The 17,839-nt window shown below is 39.6% G+C and overlaps 1 protein-coding gene across 9 annotated transcripts in view, besides 2 other annotated features; it reads left to right on the top strand.

The window, feature by feature from the left end:
• Positions 933-1,122: a silencer, noted in NCBI's record as "silent region_978". NCBI's record gives its function as "represses an Ori minimal core promoter by ATAC-STARR-seq in GM12878 lymphoblastoid cells {active_cell/tissue: GM12878}" and the evidence as "EXISTENCE:reporter gene assay evidence [ECO:0000049][PMID:35858748]".
• SLC35D1 (solute carrier family 35 member D1) overlaps positions 1,037-17,839 on the top strand; it is an 81,173-nt gene continuing 64,370 nt past the window's right edge. For all 9 annotated transcript variants that reach the window (XM_047415662.1, XM_047415665.1, NM_015139.3 and 6 more), the window contains exons 1-8: positions 1,037-1,374; positions 2,196-2,229; positions 2,328-2,414; positions 3,106-3,173; positions 4,681-4,752; positions 5,335-5,403; positions 7,818-7,920; positions 12,857-12,949. In XM_047415662.1, the coding sequence (XP_047271618.1) occupies positions 1,172-1,374; positions 2,196-2,229; positions 2,328-2,414; positions 3,106-3,173; positions 4,681-4,752; positions 5,335-5,403; positions 7,818-7,920; positions 12,857-12,949 (729 nt within the window). In that variant the 5' untranslated portion in view covers positions 1,037-1,171. The remainder of the gene's footprint in view (positions 1,375-2,195; positions 2,230-2,327; positions 2,415-3,105; positions 3,174-4,680; positions 4,753-5,334; positions 5,404-7,817; positions 7,921-12,856; positions 12,950-17,839) is intronic.
• Positions 1,413-1,622: a silencer, noted in NCBI's record as "silent region_977". NCBI's record gives its function as "represses an Ori minimal core promoter by ATAC-STARR-seq in GM12878 lymphoblastoid cells {active_cell/tissue: GM12878}" and the evidence as "EXISTENCE:reporter gene assay evidence [ECO:0000049][PMID:35858748]".

Below are 17,839 nucleotides of genomic sequence, written 5' to 3'. Positions count from 1 at the left end.
TTACCAAAATATAAAAATAAGAAAAAAAAAAAAAAGAAATTTAAAAAGATACAGACCAAGCACTTAGAAAAATAATTCAAAGTTCTTCTTTCCTAATCTATTAAAGTTCAATACGTAATTTCTTTGCTTAAACCGATCATAATGATTTGCTTCTGTTATACAATAATGACTACCATTTACCGAAAACTAGCTCTTTGCTAGCTACACATCCACAGAGATCAGGTTCAGGGAGGTCATCTAATTGGTCCAAGACACACAATAAGGAGTGAGTGTGTTGGTGGGGGGGGGGGGGGTCGTCATTTCTAGGAATCCTACAATTGGAAATCAAGTCTTTTAGGCTCCAAACACCTTGTGCTTTCCCCAATCCCCAAGCTGCTTATCTTGCTACTTTTTGGGATATGTCAACATTTTTCTTAAAACAAACAAACGAAACTTCTCAATCTGAAAAGTATTGTTTGGTGTTTTCTGGGTTCAGAAAATGTAAGAAGCCTGAGGCATTGCGGAATGAAATTTTCGTTGAGTGTTTACTGTTGATCCACATCTGATACTTTTGAAGGGTTTTTACCCCCTGCAAGAGAGACTAAAAGAGCATTCAGAATTAGTCTAGACGCAGTGTACTGTAACTACTTGGCCGGCCACCTGTAACAGAGGGGAGGAGGGTCTGCACTTAGTTGCGGCAGTTATCCGGAGAATACGGCCTTCCAGCCCCTCTGCCACCAGACTCCCCACGCCCCAGGTACGCGCCCCGCGGAGAGACCCAGCGCGTGCTCGTGCGCAGGCGCAGGGCGACTGTCACCCGGAGTCTGTGGTTTGTCGCCCGGCGCTCTGGTGTCTCGATGTAGTTCCCCTGGCTTCTCCTTATCCGCCTCGGGCAGGGGGGTCGCCACTGCCCCTTCTCCAGGCTCTCTCCAACCCCTGCCCAGGCTAAGCCCGGCGCGGCCCTACTCTCTGACCCCGCGTTGCACAATGCCCGAGCAAAGTCTCCAGGGGTGTGAACCCCGGCGTCCCTGCCCCTGGGCGGGGACAGGCGGCGGCCAAGCGGGGAGTCGAGGCGGCGAGCGCGCAGCTGGCCTAGTCTGCGGTCCCCAACTCCTGGAGTCCCCTGGGAGCTGCCGCTGCAGGCCCCCGAGCCGCTAGGCCCCGCCGCCAGGCCACCGCTGCTGCGGCAGCCATGGCGGAAGTTCATAGACGTCAGCATGCTCGGGTTAAAGGAGAAGCCCCCGCGAAATCCTCCACACTCCGAGATGAGGAGGAGCTGGGGATGGCGTCGGCCGAAACGCTGACCGTGTTTCTGAAGCTGCTGGCCGCCGGCTTTTACGGCGTGAGCTCCTTCCTGATCGTGGTGGTGAATAAGAGCGTGCTCACCAATTACAGGTAGGGCCGAGGCGGCGGCGGCCCAGGCCGCGGAGGAGGAGCGGGCGGCGGCGGCGGCGCGGCGCCGGCTCCCTGGACTTTGACTGCCAAAGTTAAAGCCGAACAAAGTTGGGCGGGAGCTGGGGAGGGCGGGCGGCTGACGCGCGCGGCCCGGGCAGCGGAGCCGGCCTGGCGAGCGGGCCTGTGGCAGGGGTCCGCTCCCTGCGCGGAGCTCCGGCCGGCCCGGCACATTTGGGGCTCGCCTGCCATGCCCTGGGCGCACCGCCCCGAAAACCCTGCCCTTCAGAGAGATGGAGCAAAGTGATTTGCTTGGTGACTTTTGAGCCGTTATGCCTGTCGATCAGGGAGGAGAGCGAGGGAAGCCTCCCTCCTCCGCAGCCTGGACAGGGGGCCGGGGCTTCAGTGTCCCCTGCACCCGCTGACAGCCTCTGGGGACGTACGCATCCTCAACCCAGCAGACAATTATTCCCTTGCTAACACTGGGACCCAGAGGCAGAAGTTGGTTGTTTTTTTTTTTAAGGTGTGTGAAATCGTTGCAGAGATCTGTATCTGCACTGCCTTGAGAAATCCTTTGCAGGCAGCGGACTGAAACTGTAGACTCGGACAAGATGGGACAAGCGGCCGCCCGAGGCTACATCAGCGGGGTGGACTGACAACCAACAGGCAGAGAGTTTTCTCCCAAGATTTTTGTTTGATTTAGGGGCGGACGTTGATGTGGCTTGTATCGGAATGCCTTATTAACGTTGCCGATGTGCAAATTGAATTCACGGAGCTAAGTTAGGTTTGTTCTGATCTTGTTTTTTTCTTTGCCCTTTTTGTAGATTTCCCTCCTCACTATGTGTTGGACTTGGCCAGGTTAGTTGGAATCCTCACCATTACGTGGTTTATGTTGTTAGAACTTCTGTGTGTGTCTTTATGTGTAGAACAGTGAATCTGTGTTCTCTTGTTTACAGATGGTGGCCACAGTGGCAGTTCTCTGGGTGGGAAAGGCGCTCAGAGTAGTCAAGTTTCCTGACCTTGACAGAAATGTACCTCGAAAGGTAAAAGAAGAAAAGCGATACTTTATTTTGTGAAATGAAGTCAGTATGTATTAACATATTTTATCAGTGCCTTGCGTATTTAAAAATTGCAGCCTCAAAATTGCCCAGTCTAGAGTGGTTATAATGAATGTAAAGAATAAAAGTAGTAATATGTGTCAAAGAAGGCCTACAGTCTCTTTAAACTTAAGAGAAAAAATAACCTAGGAATATTCTTCTGTTTTTAATTAATGCACACTTGTTGAGAGTACAATAGTTTTGCAGTTTCTCTATCCATCTAATCTAGCCAGTGTATCCTGCATTCATTATTCTTTGGGCTTATTTTATACTGTCTGCCTCTGCTTGACTCCAAACGAAGATGAAATGCCTTTACTTTTTCTGCTGACAATAGAGCCATGGGCTCTAATACATTATCATATTTTACAGCAAATGATGTTTCTGTCTCACATTGATCATATTCATATTTCTGTCTTTTCTCCCTGCCTTCCTCCCTTTCTTTCTGCTATAGTAATGTTGTTTATCCAAGCATAAGTTTTGTTTGGGTGTTTGGGTGTCAAAATTGTGTATGATAACTAATTTTACGTTTTAAGTGGAAAAAATTTTGATCATATAAACAAAATTGTTTCTGTTTGAAAGGACCTTGTTTTAGCTATCTTTATTATTGAGTTTTGTTATCCCTTTTTAAATTTTCTAGACGTTTCCACTACCTCTACTATATTTTGGGAACCAAATCACGGGACTGTTCAGCACAAAGAAACTGAAGTATGGATAACTTTATTTTACTAGTGAGGTTAATATAATGTATTCTTAAAATTGTACTTGAATGTCAAATATTTAACACATTGTTATTGATTCTGGAAAAAAATGAAAGGACCAGAAAGCTTCTATTACTACTAAATAATGAAAGTGGTGCCAAAGGTTTTAGTTTATAGTTTATGCTCTTTTCTTTGAAGAGAAAGAGGAGTTTTTTGTTTTTGTTTTTTTACCCCTCATTTTGATGTTAGAAGTCTTAAAATGTTATAAAATGCTATGATAGGAAATTTTTATTATTTTTCTAGAGCCACAATAGTGAAGATATATACTAGGCTTCTGGGATTTCAGTTCTTTAGTATAGTTCATAAATATTTTAGGCAACTTCCACACAGCAAAATTAGAGGGTAGGCACAAGAACTTTTGCAGTTTTTCTTTTAATGTGAAGTAAGGTAACATCAGCTAGAACCCTGATAAAAATATTATTAATATCTTACACATGGCATGTAACTGTAGAGGCAACATACTTATTTTCAGAAAGAAGCAATAGCTCTCCTCTCCATGGTAACACTGTCTTTCCCTCTAACCTCCCGGTTTCTGGCTTCTGCTCTTATTGTAGTGTACATATCGGTTGTGTGTGGTATTAAAATGACACAAATAGAGAAAACATTTAACAGAAACCCCATGGCTTCACCACTACCACACAAGCTAAAACCCTGGCATTGTAAAATAGAATGGAGAGATTTTTGAGCATCAAGGACAAGGTGTTTTTCATTTCTTCCTTTAAAACCCGAGAAACCTGACAGAATGACCGAGATGATATCTCTGAAGAGGGTTCCAAGGAAGTCAGATTTATCATGGGTGGGACATTTTTTTCCATTTCATTACCCACCAGGAAAGAAATGCAGGCCTTCTGCAAAGTGCTGCTTGTGTAGAGTTTGCTTTTTTTCATCCATCTCATCCAACCATTCATTCACACCTATCTTTGATTGCCAGCTAAGTATAAGGCACTTTGGAGTGAGATAAGATATATTCAGAAATAACTATATTGCAAGAGGCTGTATGTTTGATTAGTACAAGCAAAATGCTCTGGGAATTTAGATGAAGACAAAATTACATCCACAAAAGGACAGTCAAGGCATTTCATGGGGTAAGATTTTCATAGATGGTTTTTGGGTGGTCTAGGGGGTGGGAAGGGAGGTCAGACTAGTGAAAAAATGAGAAGGAAGCCTTTTTCTATTAAAAACTGACATATTTACAGCTTAGGGTTTTGCATAATTAGAATAAAGTTTTGTAGTTAATTTAATGTTTCTCACTTCTAGTAGTTTTTTAAAAGCAACTGTTGTAGGCTTTCAAGTAGGAATTGCTTCTAGAGAGAAGCAGGGGTTTAACCATAAATTAATTTGTATGGAATTTCCATAATGGAAGAATAGCATTATTTTAACTACCAATTTGGAAAATCTTAGTTTAAAACAAATTGTTAAATTCTATTTTACCTAATTATCTTTTTTTTTTCCAGCTTGCCAATGTTTACAGTTCTGAGAAGGTTCTCCATCCTGTTTACAATGTTTGCTGAAGGAGTTTTACTCAAGTGAGCTAAGTTTCTAATATATCTGTTCTTTAAATCACCTTGAAAAGGTGCCCAGCATATGTGAGATATTAAATTATTTGTCTTGTTCCTACCTTACCTTTTGAGAAGTTTAAGCAACCCTCTCTCTTGGCTGCTGGAATTGATAGTTTGTGGGAGTGGTAGTTGGGAAGGTTATGAATTAGAGTTGAAAATCTTATCTGAACGTGAGATTTACTTTCTAGAATTTCTGTACTACTGCCACCGGGAGAAGCTGGATCAGAATCATAGGTATAGGTTTTAAATAGTGTTCATGTCTAGCTCCAAATGAATGTGACATTTTTCTGTTAAAGAAATTCTGCTTCACAAAAATTCAAACTCACTAATAATGACAATAGGTGAAAATTTTAAAAGTGGGTGTAATAACTTATATAACAATAAATTTTTGCTTTATCAAAGGGGTTCTTTTAAATATCAGTTTCTCAGAAATGTTTAAAATACGATTGTTTATAGCTTTTGAGAAAGCATATCCCATTTTTTGCTTCTGTTGTAAAATGAGTGTGGGAATAAAGTCATGTGTGTATTTTAAAATTTTTTGTTTTGTAGGAAGACTTTTTCTTGGGGTATTAAAATGACTGTATTTGCAATGATTATTGGAGCCTTTGTAGCTGCCAGGTAAGATGTGGGCCTATGACTAGCACATTATAAATTGTCAATAATTATTGATAATAAATGATTGCTTATCAATAACAATTTTTTATTGCCTAAATAAGAATTATATCTTTGAAAAGCATCTAGAAGACTCTTGAAAAGGTTAAATCTTTTTGGCTGTATTAAGATAAAGGTTGACAAAAATAAGATTCTTGGGATTGTTAAAATTTAAATTGATGTAATTTAGAATTTGTTACTGTCGTTGTGCTGAGCACATAGCATGTGCCACACAATATGTTTGGCATTTTACACATCTTATTATGTATTCTTCACAACACCTCTGAGAGGTATGGGTATAATTTTCCTATTTTATAGTTGAAGAAACTAAAACTTAAGTTCAATAACTTACTTAAGGTCACAGAGCTAATGGCAGAGCTGAAATTTGAATCTGTGGCTTTCTTCAGAGCCTGTGTGTTTTTATAAACCATGTGGCATTTCTTTTTTTTTTTTTTGAGACGGAGTCTTGCTCTGTCGCCCAGGCTGGAGTCCAGTAGTGGGCTCTCGGCTCACTGCAAGCTCCGCCTCCCAGGTTTACGCCATTCTCCTGCCTCAGCCTCCCGAGTAGCTGGGACTACAGGTGTCTGCCACCACACCCAGCTAATTTTTTGTATTCTTAGTAGACACGGAGTTTCACCATGTTAGCCAGGATGGTCTCGATCTCCTGACCTCGTGATCCGCCTGCCTTGGCCTCCCAAAGTGCTGGGATTACAGGCGTGAGCCACCGCGCCTGGCCTGGCGTTCCTTAATTTTGCATGCTGCTAAAGAAAAGCATGTCTCCTCTTCTGTGAGGTGAGGAAAATGACTATGAAACATTTGCTTGCCTTTTCGAATAATGAACAATAACATTGCTTTAATTGGCCTCACATAAGATATGTCACAAATGCCATAACTTAGATATTCTATTAGGTTATTAAAGCTTTTCCCATTTTTCTTAAGTTTTAGTTTTAAAATACATGAGGAAAATGTATACCCACAGACCTAGAAAATTATAATGATGCTAGAAGTCTTCTACAACATTTTAATCAGCCCAGGGCATGCATATATGTATTTACTAATGCCACACATTCTGCCAGACATATGTTTTCCATCCAGGAGTTCCAGTGTACTTCTTGAATTGACTCATTTACCTTCATCACATTCCTGTAGTATAGGTGGAAGAAAATATTATCAGTCCAGTCCTGTTTTACAAGTCCAATCTCCAAGTAAAATTTCATTCTAAAAAAAAGAGAGTGGCGTAATTGGTTACTAGAAATTGGCTATATAGCTAACTGCTTTTCCTTCTATGTCATATTCCCCCCTTGGAGAAAAATTCTATGCTAGCCTCCTACCTTTCTTTTTAGAGGTGCCCTGCTAGTCTTTGAAACATTTCCTTGAAGCTGATGGGACCCAAAATTGTACCAAACAACAGGGGTTCCTCAGGGCTTTCTTGTGTCTACAAAAACTTCTGAAAAGGATTACTGTCTGGACCAGCCTTATCTGGTTAGACCCTTTGACTTGGAAAAAGATTGAAAGGAAGGGAACTCAGACCTCTGAAGTCAGTCAGAAGGTTGTTAGACTGCTTGGGGTAGGGAGTGTGCATTAAGTTAGTCCTGCCTAAAATTGCAGTGGCATAGAACTCATTAGATAAGTCTTGGCTCCTATACAGTATCTCTGCAAAATCAGAGTCTGTGCAGCCACTATTTTAGCTAGGGTGCTGAAGTATGCTGAAGGCATACCTTTCTCAGATTTTCATTTATTCTGTTTAATTTACTAAATTCTTATCTCGTGCCTGGTACTCTAAGTTCCAGAAATTTTCAGTTTCCCTAAACCCCCAAGTTATACTTCACAGGTTCATTGAGCTATTGTTTAAGTATTTGAGTTCCTGCTATGTGCTTAGACATTGTTCTAGCTTGATCTCAGAACTAACCATGATCCACACTTCAGAAATTTCACCCAGGGGCCCAACTACCTATGCAAGATAGTCCTACCTTTCATGTGGACCTTCAGAAAATGACTTGTTAATGGCCTCATCCTTTTGGTTTTCTTGTCTATGAAATTGAGCTCTGCCTGCTTCTGCCTGCTTCACAGATGTACTTAATGGTAATTTGGTGCTTGTTGTCATCTGGCTTTGAATGCAGAGCGGTGTGCTATTAAATGACATGAATGACCGTTGCTAATTATGTGTTTAAATGTTAGTGCCTCTTATTTCTGAGGAATCCCTTATTGAGGTGAAATTGCAAACTATGACCAGAAATCAAGAAATACTAGTAGCTGATAAAATGCCTAATATTCACTTCCCTAGATGAGAATATGTTCTTGTAAATATTTTAGCTTATATCTATTTAAAATTAAATGCATGTTCTTTAAGTTGTTCTTAAAGTGTTGCTTATGTTTTGCAGCTCTGACTTGGCATTTGATCTGGAAGGATATGCTTTTATTCTGATAAACGATGTCCTAACAGCAGCAAATGGTGCATACGTAAAACAAAAATTAGATTCAAAAGTAAGTAGCAATCTAAAGCTTTAACAGTTGTGTACTGATGTTGGCATGTCAATTCATAGGAGAAAAAGTGGGGAATAAAGAAAGTTCTTACTGGGGATGAGAAAGACATAGTGGCTCTCTGAGGGTAAAATTCCTGTACTTTAGTGTTCATATAAGAAACTTTATTTTTTAATTAATTAGCAATTAGGTTTTATTCCAGGCTTTTCTGGGATTGCGTGAATTTTGACTTCGTGTGGGGTAGGGAAAGTAAAGTGTGTTCACTGCAGTGTCTTTAAATGTTCATGGCTGTATTCTAGAGGACTTTCCGAGGGACCTGGGAGGCAGAAAGAGAACTACTTGGAAACCTTTGGGCAGACTTGAAGGGAAATGAATGTTGGAAGGGGCTGCAAAACAAAAATGGCCTTTATGTATTTGCCCTATAAATAATGGGAAATTTTAGGGAGCATTAGTATCTCTGTCTCTCTTAGGGGCAACACAGTGTTTCCTGGCCTTGGCTTTACCAGATATTGTTTATTTGTTTACTATATACTTTAAATATATTATTTTTAGATCAAGCCAGATTATTAGAAAGCTGAGTATTTGAATCATATTGCTTTTGCAACATTACGTTATGAGATTACATTACTGTAAGAAACACCTAAATGGATCTCAACTTTATATATCCTAGGGTGGCTAATTGAAGGAATTGTCCTTGATATCATAATGTATCCTATATGAGGACTCATATGAGATACTTATCTTAGATGTCACCATAGTTTTTCCTGAGCAGCTGGTACATTTTTATCTCATAATTACATCTTGTAACTGACCATGACTTTATCTTATTTTCCTACCCATATTTTCTCTTTAGTCAGATGACTTTAACTGCTTAGTTTTTAGTCTTTTCTATTATGTGTAGAATGTTTCTGAAACTACTTAAGTTCCTTTTTGGGAGCTTAGATAATAAATAAATACAAGTGTCCTACCTGCTTGATAGTACTATTAGTATTGAATTGATCTTGCCTTGGCCAGGGGCTTTGCCTGCTCCTCTAGAAAAGAAGTGTAGATTCAATGTCTATCCCAGTAGGTTTCATTATTTTGCAGATAGTTTATTTTTTTTTGTTTTGTTTTTGTTTTTGGAATAGGCTTGAAGAACCAAGGACGGTGTTGATTTGTTTCCAATCCATTTTCTTTAAATATGCATGTCTTGGCCTCCATTTATTTGCTTTGATGAATCTATATGATGGTTACATTTTAATGGAAGCTACTAGTAAGAATTTTTATCTTTTTAAAATAGCTAGAGAAAAGGTAGCAGTTAGTGATTGATCTTACTCTTTTCTTCAGCCCATTTGCTGCTTTGGAAAATAGATACTATTAATGACATTTTATTTGTCCAGCAGCTTCAGTTGTCTAAAACATCACTGTTAATAGAATTTTCTGTGACATTGGAAATTTATATTTCTGCTTTCCATTAACTGGTCATTAGCCATGCATGGCCCTTGAGCACTTGAAAATAACTGAGAAACTGAAATCAGTAGTTTTATGTGATTATAATTAAATTGAAATAGCTACATGTGGCTAGTGGCTACCATATTAGTACAATCTATAGTATATCCTAGAATCTAGAAAAAAAATCAAAGTTTCTGAGTGTTTTATTCCTAGGAGAGCCCTTCAGTTTCTCACTTAGAAATCACTATGACTTATTTATACTAGAACTTTTAAGTTCATTGATTACTTCTCCTAGCTCATATCTTATAAGCAACAAACTAGAAGGTAGAATTCTATTTAGAGGCAGAGAGGTTTACCAGCAGTATAAAAGGTCAGCTAACAAGAGAAACAGTCAGATTGTAAAAGACAGAAATACTGGAGAAGAAGAAAAAGATACAGGGTCTATTAAACAGCCGTAAGGGCAACACTGAATAAGAACATAATACATAAACATAATAATACAGATTTATGATGCGTAACAGTGTATCATAAGATGTAATAATACATGTTTATGATGATGCCCTAAATCTAGTTTCAGTCAGTGTACTTTAAGAAGGCAGGGAGAAAGACATTCAAAACAATTAAAATGTATAAAGAAAAACAGAAGTTTTGGCATTTAAGTTCTTGCTGTTTGTCAGTTACTGGATGATGTGTATTTGTGTGTATGTGTGCCTCCATGCATATCCTCTACTTCCTGGATAACACTCATGTCTCTGGCTGACTGGGCACCCTTCTTAAAGGTTGTCCCAGTATGGCTTTTTTTTTTGCTGCCGTACACATGAGGCACACCTTTACACTGATGCTTGTGGTGACCATAAGCAATCAGTTACTTGGTTTATCCCAGAGGCAGTAAGGCAGTACGGCCATGCTGAGGTGCTTTTTAATACATCCGGAGTTTTCTTGTTTTCTTTTGTTTTTAGAAGTAGAGAAACAAAAGAATGGCTACTCCATAGGCAGGGCAGCCAATCAGGAGTTTTATTACTGATAATATCAGGCTGCTTACAATTATAGTCCATTGAGTATGAGTCATATGGCATAAAGATTTTGTGCTGCATTTTAGACCTGAATGTGGCTATCGAATTTAAAACTTTTTAACTTTAAAATATTACATAAAATAATGCATGTTTATGATAGAAGTAGTAGAAAACATGGATAAGCAAGAGGAAGAAAACATAAATCTCCCTTAATACTATCATCGAGTGAGAAGCACTGTTTTGGTGGATATCCTTTATTTTGTATGTGTATGTGTGTGCACACTTATCTGTATGTTAAAATTTTAAGCAAAAAAGGGATGATATAGTTTCTAACTTGTATTTTTCACTTAGTACCATTTCTTGAACACCTTTTTAATGTCAATCAGCATCATTAAACATTTTTAGTGGCTGTGTAATGTTTCATTGTATAGCTAGTTATAGTCTAATCATCTAATCAGCTAGTTTTCCTTCGGGGTTTTTTTTTTTTTTTTCAGATGGAGTCTCACTCTGTCGCCCAGCCTGGAGTGCAGTGGCACATCAGCTTACTGCAGCCTGTGTCTCCTGGGTTCAAGTGATTCTTGTGCCTCAGCCTCTTGAATAGCTGGGATTACAGGTGTGCACCACCACGCCAGGCTAATTTTTGTATTTTTAGTAGAGACGGGGTTACTCTATGTTGGCCAGGCTGGTCTCAAATTCCTGACCTCAGGCGATCCGCCTGTCTTGGCCTCCCCAAATGCTGAGATGACAGGCATGAGCCACTGCACCCAGCCTAATCAGCTAGTTTTCAATTGTTGGGTATTTATTTCCAATTTTTCAGTGCTGCTTTTGAGAAGGCAGTTCGACTTTTCTCATCAGTCAGTAATCTTTCAATCGCAGGAGTTAGGCAAGTGTTATGCCCCCATCCTTACCACTCCCTCACTGTCCCCACTTCCCACCTCTCAAACCCTGGCCTGCATTTTCAGGAGACTGCTTCATGCTGAATGTCCCAGAAGTGTGTGAATCAAAGGTGGACTCAGAGTTCTTATAGGCTCCCTGTGTTTGAAGATGTGTGTTATCCTTTGTTGCTCCCTAGTAGCTAAGAACCCAGTAAGTCATATTGTGTTCTGGGAGCTGTAGTTATAGTAATCTTAATCTTCATTTTACTTCATGTACACGTTTTCGGAAATACTTCACTGAGAAGTGCTGTCTGTTGGTATTGGTCTAGGCCTGAGTCTGCATGTCTGAATCTGGCCATCTTTTTTTGTTTGTTTGCTTTGTGCTTTTTGTTTGTTTTGTTTTTGAGCCAGGGTCTTGCTCTGGTGCCGAAGTTGGAATGCAGTGGCACAATCAGAGCTCACTGCAGCCTCCCTTGGATTCCTGGGTTCAAGGGATCCTCCCACCTCAGTCTCCTGAGTAGCTGGGACTACAGGTGCACACCACCATTCCTGGCTAATTTTTTTTTCTTTTTAATTTAAGATAGGTTCTTGCTCTGTTACCCAGGTTGGAGTACAGGGGCACAATCTCGTTCTTGGCTCACTGCAGCCTTGAACTCCCAGGCTCAAGAGTTCCACCCACATCAGCCTCCCCAGTAGCTGGGATTTACAGGAACGTGCCACCATGCTCGGCTAGGTTTTTTTGTTTTTTTTTTTGAGATGGAGTGTCTCACTCTGTCATCCAGGCTAAAGTGCAATGGTGCGATCTTGGCTCACTGCATCTCCACCTCCTGAGTTCAAGCGATTCTCCCGCCTCAGCCTCCCAAGTAGCTGGGATTACAGGCACCCACCATCATGCCCGGCTAATTTTTGTATTTTTGTAGAGACAGTTTCACTATGTTGGCCAGGCTGGTCTTGAACTGCTGACCTCAGGTGATCTGCCTGCCTCAGCCTCCCAAAGTGCTGGGATTACAGGCGTGAGCCACCGCGCCTGGCTGTTTTTGTATTTTTTGTAGAGACAGTGTTTCACCATGTTGCCCATGCTGGTCTTGAACTCCTGGGCTCAAGCAATCTGTCCGCCTCAGCCTCCCAAAGTGCTAAGTTTACAGGTGTGAGCCACCGTATCCGGCCTCATCCATCTTTCTTAAATGACACTGTGCTAGGCTTCTGAAAAGCCCAAGACATACTCAGTCTTGATTCAGTTCTAGAAAGAGAATGGCTTCAGAGAGATGTTTTGATATTGCTGTGTGTGTGTTTGTGTGTGTGTGTATGTGTTCAAAATAACCTCTTTTCTACTTGCTATTTTGAGGCAGCCAGTAGTCATTTTTATTTCTCTGATCTTAAGCACTTGAGGAATTTATTTCAAGTAAGTATAAAATTTTGTAAGTTTGCTTTATTTGGTCTTGAAAGTTTAGATTATTTCTTAATGTTTGCAAAACTTCTAACTTAATTCATTTGCTGTGTATGTTGTAGGGGAGGGTGTGTGTGTTTGTGTATTTATGTGTAGTTTGAGTGGTATTTTGTACAGTGTTGTATCTGCTAGAACAAAACGCAGATGAAACACCTAATTATTTACTGTCCTAGGAGCTGGGAAAATATGGACTGCTCTATTACAATGCACTGTTCATGATTCTGCCCACCCTGGCCATTGCGTATTTCACAGGAGATGCACAAAAGGTAGGACTTTCTAATTACGGTTTAATGGCTTACGTTGATGAACTGCATTATTATTTATGATGAAAAGATAGGCTTTGTTGTTCAAAAGAAATATGCTTATTAAGTGACCAAAAACTGAGCATTTACTCTTTAAATTGCTAATGTCATGCTAACCTCTTTTCTTGGCGTAAACATTGGATAGTACAAAGATGACTCAAAATAGCTCTGCTGTCAACATAAAAATAGTGCTTGCCAGCTAGTGTCTTTTTCTTACATGCCAGAAGGATAGAGGAAGGGAATTTTTACATTTCTGCTAAACTATAAAATAGGAATAGTAGTAAACTATCCTTGAGAAACAAAAATCTTGAAATAGTAAAATTCTCCAAATCCTAAACAAAATGCTAGGCATTGCTAGAAGTTCTCAGTTTTAGTGTACAGTTGTCATCCTGGTTTAACTCCCAACTTGTTTTTTTTTTCTCAGGAGATATTTAGCATTGTGTGGCAACTTAACCTTATAAAGAACAACTAATATAGTAGTTTACCAATTTTCTGCAAATGTCTAGCTAAATAAATACAGCATAGAGTAGTAAAATAAATCTGGAGAAGAATTTTTCTTTAAAACAAGCCCGTGTAGGAGACAAATTGATAACATATTGTCAGAATTCACAAAATTCTGCAAACTAAATGGAAATCCAGAATTATGGCAAGGATTTCTGTACCAAGATTCCTTCTAATGATTCCCCTGGCTAGTAACTTCTTCAGAATAAGTATGTTGGTCATTTACTCTAAAGACCGTGATTTTTACAAGTTTGTGGGAGCTAAAATAAAAGAGATTTTTAAAAGCTGTTGGACTATTAAATTGTTCTTGAACCAAAGGCTGGAGACTGACAGCTTATGAAGCTGTTTCCCACCCCCCATCATACCTCTTCTTTTAAAGAACTGGTACAGGTCATCTTGAATATACGTGTAAATGTTTTAATGAACTGTGACCTACCTGCCAGCAGGCCTAAAAATGACACCAAAGTAGGAAACGGCTATTTCTCTAATAAAGAGTATTAAATAAGTATTTTGTGGCTGTGAAAAAAAATGGGACAAGAAACTAACATTTATTGAATCCCTATTATGTGTTAGTCACTTTGTATATTTAATATAATGTAGTTTTTATAACAGTCAAGAAAATTTTAATTATACCTATTTTACTAATGTGGAAGGAGAGGTTCAGAGAGACTAAGAAACTTGTCCAGTGTCATACTATTGGGGAATAGTGGAGTCAAGATTTAAACCCAAGCCTGACTCCAAAGGCTGTGTGCTTTGGAGCAGACTAGCGACTAGCAGAAGCACCCCTCACTCTCGAGCTTTGGGACAAGAATATGGTGTGATATATGGTTCTAAATCTTGAGGCAAATCTGAGAAAGTTGGAAGAATTAATTTGCTTAGGGAATATATAAAGTTTCTTTTAGCAGACATTGAACCAAATGGACTAAGAGAGCAATTTGTATGGCCCTTTGGAGGGAGAGTAATCTAGGTCAAGGAAGAGCAGGTTCCAAGTCCTGAGGTGAGAGTGCTTAGCATTTTTTAAATGGGCAAATACCAGGAAAAGTCAAAGTGGGCCTTGAAGAATGCGGAGGAAGAGAAACAAAAGGTACATTCCAGATAGAACTAACAGCATGAGCTCAGGCATACCTGCAAAGACCAGACTCTTCAAATTAGAAGGTAGAAGTCAAAGACCTTAGAAACATTAGCAGAGACCTTAGAGAGCATCTGGTTTGAGCCTCTTATTTCATAGTTGGGGAAACTGGGCCCCAGAGAGGACTAGAACCTAGATTTTTAAGTTCTAAGCAGGTGTTATTACCATTCCCACCATATCACACCCTGATTCCTTCTAAATTAGGACCAATGCTAGACACAAGAATTTGACATTTACTCTGCAGGTAGTGACAAGTCCTTAAAAGTTTGTGACAAAGGGCTGGGTGCAGTGGCTCCCGCCTATAATCCTAGCCCTTGGGGAGTTGTGAGCAGATTGCTTGAGCCTAGGAATTCAAGACCAGCCTGGGCAACATGGCAAAACTCCATCTCTACAAAAAATTCCAAAAAAATTAGCACAAATGGTCGGGTGTGTCTGTAGTCCCAGCTACTGGGGAGGCTGAGGTGGGAGGATCGCTTGAGCCCAGGAGGTCGAGGCTGCAGTGAGCCATGATTGTGCCACTGCACTCCAGCCTGGGTGACAAAGCAAGACTGTGTCTCAAAAAAAAAAAAAAAAATTGTGATGTAAGTGGTACAGTGGGGAGAATTTAGGGCTCTCAGAATGCAGAAAACTAGCCACCTCCAGTTCTGTGCCTGACCACCATCTGACTTTGGATAAATCCCTTCTGCTCTCCCACCTAGCTTTATCATTTGTAAAATGAGTCTCTAGGTACAGCCCTTTCTGGGGTTGAGACAGAGTTTCTGAGGAGTAAAAGCCATGTCATTGTGGAAACAGGCAGCTATTCTCACAGCTGGCATGAGCCCACTACTCCCCTATAATCAGTGCTGATAAACTGCTCTCATTTGTTGGACTTCAGACTTTCCTGACCCACTTTGAATGGGGGCCACTTTGAATGGAAACTTTCTATGTATTGAATTAAAAGATCTCCAAGATAAATGGTTAAATGAAAAAGCACAGTGCAAAATGGTGCATATGATATCCTACCTTTTGGGTAAAATAAAAAGAAAAATAAGAATACCCCCCACGCGCGCACACACACACACACACACACACACACAATTTTTTCACTTATTTAAATAAAGTCTGGAAAAATATACATGAAACTAATAAATTTTTGTGCATATTGTGGGAACAGGGTAAGTAGAACAGGAATGGGAGGGAGACTTCTCAAACTATTCATCTTTCTATATTTTTTTGATTATAGGACCACATAAACGTATTTAAAAACTATATCAAAGGAACAATAAGGAAAAGATAGTTTTTATATAAATGACTACTATCCTGTGATTAACCCTAAATTTGAAAATAACTGGGGACATGGCAAGTCAGTTTTTTATTATCCTAAGTTGCAGACTCTTGACCCACATTGCAGTTTGAAGCAAAATCGATGCAAATTATTCTGAAAGTCTCACTGTTAAATTTAGTAGGCAGAAGAGGGAAAACTTCCCTTTGTTAGGACAAGAATCCAACAAGGGGGCTCTGAAAGGCCAGCTCCCCAGAGAGACAGGAGTTGGATACAGCAGTTGATGGGGTTGATACAGCCTTTAAGCAAGAGTTGGAGGCCAACGATGAAAAAAACGAAATATATTACCATAAGAATGTAAAGGAAAGTTCCAGTTGAAAAACTCGTCCCAGTGAGCACATAATGCAAGGTCTTGGCAAAGCATTTTGAGAAACCAAACTAGTTGTGTGTGTGTTTGTGTGTGTGTGTGTGTGTATACATATTTAAAGTTTATCCAAGGTTCTCAAAGTTCTGGGTTTACCAGAAACCAAGGAACAAATAAATATATTCAGCACTTAGTTTTTAAAACATGTATCTTCTAACTTAAAAACATTTTTTTAAACTATGCCTCATGCAAAAACCAGCTTACTGTTAATAAAAGATACCTAGTTAACATAGATAAAGGCAGAGTGGACATCATTTGACCAATGACTTTCCAAAGCATCAGTACAGATTGTGTTTAAACTTACTAATTGCTACCTCCAGATGGGATTTTTTTTTTAGTACAAAGCCAGTGATTCAGTCACAGGAGTTGGAGCTTGGCTTTCTGGCAGCACACCCTGCTAGGTGTTCTTACATAGAGATGGAAGAACAGACCACTTGCTGTAGATCTCACAAGGCTAGTTCTGTGGTACGCTGTATAATGTCTCCATTATATCACTGGCTAAATTACATGGTTTAGGGGAGTTATAGGAAAGGTTGCTGCACAAATTGTCTGCCTGGAAGTGTCTCATACTAAGCATTGCTGACTAAATAATGAAGAAATTTTAGGCTGTTAAGTTAGCCTGTTTAGAGTTATTCATCTTTTCTGGATTGCTCTGTGGACCACACAGATTGATTTTCAGACTCTGAATTATTCTCACCACATAGAGACAGATTCCTTCTGTTTTCTGGGCCTTGGTGTTCCCATATGTAAAACAGGTGGGTTGGATCAATTATTCTTTAGTTATGAATGAATAGAACTTTCTCTTTGCCAGTATATTATTTGACTGACACTGTTATGTTTCTAACCATTCTTACCTCTGAGATATCTCTTTTTAAATAAGAGCAAGTGACCTACTTGGCAAGCTGGAATGTGTAGTTTTGACATGATCTGTAGGTTTTATTTTATATAGGTGGCACCACTGACATTATCTTCTTTCTGCCTTAGCAAGTTTCCTAACAGTTTACTTTCAGATAAGGATTCAATTTTTTTCTTAGTAATTTTTCAGGGAAAGAATTTTCAGGAATAGAATATCATTTATTAATCTTTTTTCTTTACCATGACATGCAAACTCAGTGGTTTATTTTTAGACTTCATGGTAAACAGAGATGTGTCAAAACACTAAGAAAATATCTGTCACACTTTGGATTTTAGTTCAGATTTCAAATGAATTGATGATTCAGAAATGGGGAATGGTTGCCTCAAGTGGACATTGAAACTTTTCCATACTTCTGACTAGATTAGGGTTGGTAAATTGTAAATTGGTGCTAAGTTATCCTGTGCTCATTGTAGACATTACCAAGTAGTCACAATATTTTCTTGCTATGCTTACACATAGCCTGAGACTGTTTACCAAGACAGGAGTCTAGACAGCCAGAATCAGTTGATCAGAGCTGGTACAAAAGACAAAATCTGATTGCATCCCTGGATGAGAGTTTAGCCTTTGTATTGATTGTGTAGTTTTTGTGCTAATCTTACTCACATACTCCCTTTCTCTCTTAA

The sequence above is a fragment of the Homo sapiens genome, chromosome 1 (genome assembly GCF_000001405.40).
Source record: "Homo sapiens chromosome 1, GRCh38.p14 Primary Assembly".
NCBI lineage: Eukaryota > Metazoa > Chordata > Mammalia > Primates > Hominidae > Homo > Homo sapiens.
This window is presented reverse-complemented; position numbering and strand designations above follow the sequence as displayed.